Consider the following 9,281-nt stretch of genomic DNA (forward strand, 5'->3'; position numbering starts at 1 on the left):
TTTCACTTGGACCTTAACAAGTCCTTGATGGCTGTGTCCAGGTCCTTGTCACTGTCCAGGGAACTGCTTTTGTCTTCGGAGCTCTTCTTCTTGTCTAGGTGCCTTGCCTCGTCTGTCTTACCCTGGCCCTGTGACGTGCGAGTGTCACCGGGCACCCTAGCGGCGCCCTCTCCTCCCGGGGCCTCGCTGGCTGTGCCCTGGATGGAAAGGTCCCACCCTAGCGGCGCCCTCCCATCCCGGGGCCTCGCTGGCTGTGCCCTGGATGGAAAGGTCCCGCCCCTCATGGCCGGGCCCGGCTCTCCCCTGGCTGCGGTCGGCATCCTGGCCACCCTCTTTCCCCACCACCCGCATGTTCTTGGGAGTGGATGGCCTCACTTGGCAGCCGCCTCTATGCTTCCTTTTGCAGCCAGGAGTGGGTCCAGTGTTTTAGAGAGAGGGGCCTTGGGGCTGCCGGTCTGGCTGCTGAGGCCAGGTGGTGAAAGTGGGCCCTGGGCAGCCTGAGGGCAGCTCTCACCTCTGGCCAGCAAACTTCTAGACTGCACCTTGAGGGCCAAAAACGTCCAGATTTCCTGCTCAATGCTGTCGTCGCTGTCCACGGAGCTACTGTCACCATCAGAGCGGGAAGGCACGTTGGGGGAGTAGAAGAGTGGGCTTGCGGACAGGGACCCATCGCTGCCCTCCATAGGGCCGGCAGGATCGTCTTGAAAATGTCCAGGACTGCTTCTACACACATCAGCTCAGCGGAGGTGTCTGCCTGGCAAGAGGACCATTCCACAAACTTGCTCCTGGAAGCCGGGCTCGTTGGAGGTGGAGCTTTGGTTTCCTTTGGGATCTTGGGGGAATGGTCAGCGTCCAGATCCCCTGGACCAGGGTCCGTGGTCTTGGTGGGCACTGGCTTCTTCTTGCTGGGTGTTTTCCTGTGGGTCTCTGGCAAGGCACTTTTTGTGGCGCTGCTTGTGCTGTGTGCGGGAGGGGCAGGTGCTCTTTCCTCTTGGAGCTGGACCCTCTGGGGCGGGTCCCCGTCGGCCTCCTTGTGTGTTTTCTGCACCTGGTACAGCTGGATGGCCTCCTCAATGCCGTCGTCGCTGCTGGAGTCGGACGCCTCGGGAGCCTGTACGGCGCTCGTGACTCGCTTTCCCCTCCTTGCGGTGCTGGCGCTCCTTTTAATCCCACTTTTATTCTGTACTGCTTCTGAAGGGCGGTGGGGGTTGCTGGCTTTGTGCTGCCCTCCTTCTCCTGCGTGGTCGTGGTCGTGACCTTGGACCTGAGGCTTCTGGGCTGCACGTTTGTCTTTGCTAACCGGGGGAGGTCTGCAGAAGGCGAACTCCTTCTGGACGCCCATCAGGCCCTGCCGGTGCACCACCTTTGTAGCCGGCTCTTGGTGGGATTTCGAGAGTGACTTCGCCGAATTTTCATGTGTGTCTGGTTTCTTCTCCACTGACCCATCACATTTTTGGGTCTCATGCTGTCTTTTCTCATTCAGAAACTGTTCTATTTCTGCCCTGATGCTCTGCTCAAAGGAGTCTGCTCTGCTCATGCTGACTGGGGAGGCAGAGCCCTGGTCCTTGCTGGATCCCACCTGGCTGCCAGGGCCACACCACCTGAGCCAGGTACAAGTTTTGGGGAACACAGGGCAGTTGGGCACTGCTGTGAGCCAGTTCCCGCTTACATCTACTGCCTCCGCCCGCAGCCCTGGAAGGCTGTGCATGGCTGGGCCCCGCTGGCCCCGGGCTGTGCCGCTCCACTCTTTACCTTCAGGTACTCCTGGATGGCCTCCTCAATGTCCCGGTCCACGGAATCGTCACTGTCTGAATCTAGCACCAATGGGCCAAAGTCTGCAGTTTCCTCCTCCCCCACGGGGTCAAAGTCAGCAACAAGACCACAGGCAGCCAACGCAGGCAGCTCCTTGTGCATGGTGGGCTTGGCAGCAGGCCTGGCGTCGTGGCATCCCTCTGCCCCCTCTGCGCAGTGCGCTCATCGCTGGTGCCCCTAGCAGCCCTGTCGCTCTGCAGCGTGCTGATGAGCATCTGCACCCGGGTGCTCACCGACATGCTCTCCACGCCCTTGTCAGCCTCCGAGAAGCACCCGGGGAACCTAAAGCTCCCTGGCGGGACAGAGGCCTCCCATTTGGGCTGGAGAGCAACCACTGGAGGAGCATTCATGAGAAACATTCTGGCAGATGGGGAGCGACGCGCAGAGGGGCGACACTTTATTTCTCTGCAGGCTTCACATCCTCCAAAGATTGGCAAGCAGTACCCGTGAAATAACTTTAAACCTGCAAATGCTTCTTTGCAGGTTTAAAAGGATGACTATAAACTATGACGTCATGCCTAGATTCATTCTTGACCCAACCAACAAGCTCTTGACATTCTCTGAGTCCAGGTTGACTGTGATGAAAGGCAGCTAGTGTTCCCAAATGGCCCAGGGATCAGGTCTTCATCGCTCCACTCAGAGGGAAGCATCCTCTCTCTGCTTTTTAAATAGACTTTTGACTGGGGCTCCAGCAGCGCGGGGCGCGCAGACCTGGAGTTGCATGGAGGCCAGAGCCACGACACCCGCCTGGGGAACGGAGCAGCCCCAGGCGCTGATCCCCGTCCACCTGCCCCACGGAGCCCTCGCCGCCCGCTTGCCACTGCCTGCATGGCCCTCCTGTCCCCGGCCCCCCAGCCCTCCTTTCCCCAGCTCCCCCACCCTCCTGTCCCCGGCACCCCAGCTTCCCAGCCCCCGAAACCGCCCCCCCACCTCGACCCGGCCCATGCCGCAAGTCGCCCGCTGCGCGGACCCGGCCTCCGCCCGCCTCCTGCGTCCTGGGGGAGGCGGCTGCCGGGGGTGGTGGGGGAGGGGGAGGGGGAAGAGGCCGCCCTCCGCCCGGGTGCGGGGAGGGGGCGCAGGGGTGTCCGGCCAGGCCCCCCGCCTCCCCGCCTCCCCGCAGCAGCTGCCCCGCTCCCGGGCCGCCTAATACTTTTACATTTTAACTTTTATACTACAGTGAAAAGTGATTTACACACCACCACTGCAATATTACAGTGTTATGAATGTGACTATATACTTACCTTTCCCTGTGAACTTTTTTTTTTGAGACAGAGTCTCGCTCTGTCGCCCAGGCTGGAGGGCAGTGTCCATGATCTCGGCTCACTGCAAGCTCTGCCTCCCGGGTTCAAGTCATTCTCCTGCCTCCGCCTCCCGAGTAGCTGGGACTACAGGCACCCGCCACCACGCCTGGCTAATTTTTTGTATTTTTAGTAGAGACGGGGTTTCACCGTGTTAGCCAGCATGATCCCCCTCTTCTGACCTTGTGATCCACCCGCCTTGGCCTCCCAAAGTGCTGGGATTACAGGCGTGAGCCACTGCGCCCGGCCTACCTGTGAACTTAATATCTTAATGTTTTAATGTTGCTAATCAGAATCCTTTTATTTCAACTTGAAAAACTGCCTTATAAGGCAGGTGCAGTGGTGATGAACTCCCTTAGAATTTTTTTGGTGGGAGTCTGGGAAAGACCTTATCATCTCTTTTTCATTTCTGAAGGACAGCTTTACAAGTTGTGGTCTTCCTGATTGGCAGTTTTTTTCTTCCAATACATTGAATATAGCATCCTATTCTCTCCTGGCTTATAAGGTTTCTGCTGAGAAATCCACTGATAGCCTTATTGAAGTTTCCTTGTATGTGATGAATTCCTTTCTTCTTGCTGCTTTTGAAAGTCTCTGTCTTTGACTTTTGATATTTTAATTATAATACATCTTGGTATTATGGTCTTTGGGCTGGCCTTTTTTGGGGCCTCTGAACTTCATGTGTCTGGAAGCCCACTTGCCTCTAAGAATTTGGAAAGTTTTTACCCATTATGTCTTCAAATATACTTTCAGGCCTTTTCTATCTTTTTTACTTCTAGGAAGTCCATAATATGTTTGACCCACTTCATGGTGGTGTCCTATAAATCCCAAAGGTTTTTACTTATAAACTTTTTTTTCTTTCTGGTCTTCTGACGGGATATTTCAAATGTCCTGTCTTTAATTTCACAGATTCTTTCTTCTGTTTGATCAAGTCTGCAATTGAAATTCTCTATTGCATTTTCATTTCATTCATTTATTTATTTTTATATATTTTTGAGACAGAGTCTGTGTCACCCAGGCTTGAATGCAGTGGTGCCATCTTGGCTTACTCCAACTTCCACCTCCCGGTTCAAGCGATTCTCCTGCCTCAGCCTCCCTAGTAGCTAGGATTACAGGCATATGCCACCATGCCTGGCTAATTTTTGTATTTTTAATACAGATGGGGTTTTGGCATGTTGGCCAGGCTGGTCTTGAACTCTTGACCTCAAGTGATCCGCCTGCCTCGGCCTCCCAAAGTGCTGGGATTACAGGCGTCCGCCACGGCACCCAGCTTGCATTTTCATTTTATTCATTGTATTCTTCAGTTCTAGAATTTCTGTTTGGTTCTTATTATTTCTGTATCTTTATTGAACTTTTAGCTTTGCTCATCTACTATTTTCTTGATATTATTGAGTTGATATATACATTCTAGTAAATTTCACTGAGCTATCTTAATTATTTTGAATTGTCAGGCAATTTGTAGATCTCTATTTTTGGGGGGTTGATTACTGGAGATTTATGAGTTTATTTTGGTAGTGTCATATTTGCTGATTCTTCATGATCTACAGACTTTCATTAATGTCTATGAAGAAGCAAATACCTCTTCTTTTTTTTTTTTTTTTTTTTTTTTTTTGAGACAGAGTCTTGCTCTGTCACCCAGCTGGAGTGCAGTGGTGTGATCTCAGCTCACTGTAACCTCCACCTCCCAGGTTCAAATGATTCTCCTGCCTCAGCCTCCCAAGCAGCTGGGATCACAGGCATGTGCCACCACGCCTGGCTAATTTTTTTGTATTTTTTGTAGAGACAGAGTTTCACCGTGTTGTCCAGGCTGGTCTCAAACTCCTGGCCTCAAGTGGTCTGCCCGCCTTGGCCTCCCAAAGTGCTGGGATTACAGGTGTGAGCCACCATGCCCAATCTCTTTCTGTCTTTATAGATTGGTTTCAGCAGGTACAAACCTTTTCCTGCTGGATCCCTTGACTGGATCACAGTCAAGTGGGCCTGGAGCCATATTACATGGCTGCTGCCTGGTCTGCAGCTGAATCTCTGATTGGCAGGCCGCTATCAAGGCATAGGTTGGTGATGCAGTTTCTGCTGGATCCTCAGGAGAACTGGACTGCCTCTGATACCCTGATTGAACAGGACTGGAGCCAGGTCATGGGGCCACTTCTAGTTCTACAGTCAAGTCTTCAGATATCAGGCCTATTACCAAGGGCATGGACTGGTATAGCTCCCTGTGGGTCCCAGATTGAGCTCCTGCTGGTTTACTAGGTAGGTCCATGGGAAGACAGGACTGCCTCCAGACCACAGTAGAGCAGGGCTAGAGCCAAGTCACAGGACAGCTTTGGTGACCACATTTGAGTTCAAGATTGGTGGTCCTCTTATTAGGAGAATGGATGGTATGTCTTTCACCAGGTCCCAGGATGGGCTGGACTGTGCCCAGACTGTGGCAAAGCAAGACTGGAATGGAGTCACAGGGCTACTTTAGTGTCCATAGCTGAGACTGAGATCAGCAGGCCTGTTACCAAGGGTATGTAAAGGCATCACTGAATTCCTGGGCAGGCATGACTGACTGTGGTAGAGTGGGGCTGAAGCCAGGTCAGGGCTGCTTTAGTTTCTGCAGTCAGGACCATGGTTAGAAGGCCTGTTACTGGGGGCATAAATGGTCATGGTTCCTCCTAGGTGCTTAGTGGATGGGGCTAGTTGCAAGACCATGATCTAGTGGAGCTGGACCCAAGTCCATAGGAGGACAAAGCTGCTTTCAGTCTGCAACTGGTAACCTGTCACTGGTGTGTGGACCTGCCTTCTCAAAGCAGCTCTCCTTGGTTTTGGGCTTTGCTAGAGTTTTGCCACCTCCTGCCTGGATATTAAAACTCTTGCAAAGGCAGTTTTGTCCATGAATGGCTGCCAGATCATTGTTTGTGTGGGGAGAGGTGAGTGGAGGGCCTCCTGTTCTGCCATCTTGCTGATGTCACCCTAAGATGATTATTTGAATTCTTTGTCAGGCAATTTGTAGATCTTCATGTCTTTGGAGTCAGCCACTGGAGTTTCATTTTGTTTCTTTGGTGGTGTCATATTTTCTCATGCTTCCTGTTCTTTGAAGACTTAGATTGCTTTCTTCATGTTTGAAGAAGGAGTCATCTTTTCCACTCTTTACTAACTTCAGGAGAGAAAGACCATCAATTAGCTAAGCTATAGATTCTGGGGGTCTCTCAGTCCTTTTCTGTGGGTGGTCCTTCCCTTTTAAGGGGGATGTCTTAGGATTTTGTCCCTTGTCTTCATTTCACAAATGAATAAAACAACCAGACCAGACATAAGTAAGGAAATACAGCACTTGAACAACACCTGAAAAAACAACTAGACCTAACAGACATACACAGGATATTCTACCCAACAACATAATACACATACTTCTCAAGTATACATGGGACATTTTCAGGATAGACCATATAACACATCACAAATTAATTCTCAATAGGGGCTGGGTGCAGTGGCTCACATCTGTAATCCCAGAGTAATTTGGGAGGCTGAGGCGGGTGGATTGCTTGAAGCCAGGAGCTTGACATCAGCCTGGCCAACATGGTGAAACCCCATCTCTACTAAAAATACAAAAATTAGCTGGGCGTGGTGGTGCGTGCCTGTGATCCCAGCTTCTTGGGAGGCTGAAGCGTGAGAATTGCTTAGGAGCCCAGGAGGTTGAAGCTGCAGTGAGCAGAGATTGTACCACTGTACTCCAGCCTGTACTTCATGACAAAGAAAATGTACCATTGTACCACTGACAGAACGAGACCCTGTCCCAAAAAAGGAAAAAAGCTCAGTAGATTTAAAACGATAGACATCATACAAAGTGTCTTCTCTGACCACAACAGGATAAAGTTAGAAATCAATAACAGAAGATTTAAAAAAGTTCACAAATTAGTAGAATTTAAACAACACACTCTCAAACAACCAATGGATCAAAGAAATCACAAAGAAATTATAAAATTCTTAAAGACAAATGAAAATGAAAGCACACTATATCCAAACTTATGGGCTGTGGCCAGTTGTGGTGGCTCACACCTGTAATCCCAGCACTTTGGGAGACTGAGGGAGGTGGATAGCTAGAGGTCAGGAGTTCAATTTCAGCCAGGCCAACATGGTGAAACCCTGTCTCTACTAAAAACACAAAAATTAGCTGGGAGTGGTGGTACGTGCCTGTAGTCCCAGCTACCCAGGAGGCTGAGGCATGAAAATTTCTTGAACCCAGGAGGCAGAGGTTGCACCACTGAGCTAACACCACTGCACTCCAGCCTGGGTGACAGAATGAGACTCTGTCTCAAAAAACAAAGAAACAACAAAAAAACACAACTTATGAGTTGTGGTGAAAGGAGTGCTAAGGAGGAAATTTATAGCTATAAACACATTAAAAAAAGAAACACCTCAATTCAACAACATAAGTTTACACATTAAGAAACTAGAAAAAGAAGAATAAAACTAAACCCAAAGTTAGCAGAAGGAAGGAAACAATAGAGATCAGGGCAGAGATAAATGGAAAAGAGAATAGAAAAACAATAAAAAACAAAACCAAAAGTTGGTTCTTCAAAAAGATTAATAAAACTGACAAGACTAAGGAAAAGGGAAACAATCTAAATTACTTAAAACAGAAATGTATTTGAGAATATCTTTATATATTTCTGTCTGTCTGTCTGTCTGTCTGCCTGTCTATGTTTTAGAGACAAGGTCTAGCTCTATTGCCCTGGCAACAATCAGATGCAACCAGAATCAGTGGCACAATCGGCTCACTGCAGCCTTGAATTCCTGGGCTCGCCACTATGCCAGCTCTTTTTTTTTTTTTTTTTTTTAAGAGACAGGATCTTGCCATGTTATCCAGGCTGATCTTGAACTCCTGGCCTCAAGGAATTTTCCCACCTCGGCCTCCCAAATTGTTGGATTACAGGCATGACCCACCATTCCCAGCCTAGAAAGGATTATAAAAGATTACTATAAATAATTGTGTGCTCATAAATTGGATAACCCAGATGAAATAGATGAATTCCTAGACACACAAAACCTACCAAGACTCAATTATAAAGAAACAGAAAGTCAGAATAGACCTAACCTAGTAAGGGAATTGAGTCAGTAATAAGACAATCTCATGACAAAGAAAAGTCCTGGACCTGATAGCTTTACTGGTGAGTTCTGCCAAACGTTTAAAGAAGAACTAACACTGATTCTTTTCAAGCATTTCCAAAGAGTGGAAGAGGAGTGAATACCTCTTAACTCTTTCTATGAGGCCAGCATTACCCTGATACCAAAGCCAAAAACACTGTAAGAAAATAAAACAACAGATCAATATGCCTCTGATCATTGATGCAAAAACTCTAAAAATGCTAGTATACTGGGTGGGGCACGGTGGCTCATGCCTGTAATCCCAGCACTTTGGGAGGCTGAGGTGGGTGGATCACCTGAGGTCAGGAGTTCAAGACCAGCCTGACCAACATAGAGAAACTCTTGTCTCTACTAAAAATACAAAATTAGCCATGTGTGGTGGTGCATGCCTGTAACCTCAGCTACTCGGGAGGCTGAGACAAGAGAATCGCTTCAACCCGGGAGGTGGAGGTTGTGGTGAGCCGAGATCATGCCATTGTACTTCAGCCTAGGCAACAAGAGCAAAACTTTGTCTAAAAAAAAACTATCATACTGAATTCAGCATCATATTAAAAGGATTATACACCATGACCAAGTGGGATTTATTCCTGGAATGCAACGATGTTTCAATATATAAAAATTGATCCATATAAATTCAGACAATTAATTTTAACTGATGTATAGTTTTACATTATATGCACATACCACGATTCACTTTTCCATTTTCCTAGTAATGAGCTTTAAGATTATTTCCAATTTTTAGCTATTACCAATAATGTTTCAACAAACACCTTTGGACATCTCTTCTGCAAATGTGTGTGTATTCTCTTGGAGAAGGTTTACCCTGTGGAATTTCTAGTGTGTATGTGTATGTGTGTGGGTATATATATATACACATATGTATATATTTTCAACTTTACTATATATTTCCAAAAAACTCTTCAAAGTGGCAGATTTAAACTCCCCTTCGCCGTGTATAAATTCACGGTTCCTAAAGCCCTTGGCATAGTTTTGTGTTTTTATAGAAAAGGGCATAAAGTCTTATTGCTGTTGAATTGTACCTTGCTCTTT

General features: G+C 48.3%; 1 pseudogene; it reads right to left on the minus strand.

Moving 5' to 3' along the window:
* On the minus strand, positions 1-2,366 carry PPP1R26P3 (protein phosphatase 1 regulatory subunit 26 pseudogene 3; annotated as a pseudogene).

This window comes from Homo sapiens, chromosome 22, assembly GCF_000001405.40.
Source record: "Homo sapiens chromosome 22, GRCh38.p14 Primary Assembly".
Lineage (NCBI taxonomy): Eukaryota > Metazoa > Chordata > Mammalia > Primates > Hominidae > Homo > Homo sapiens.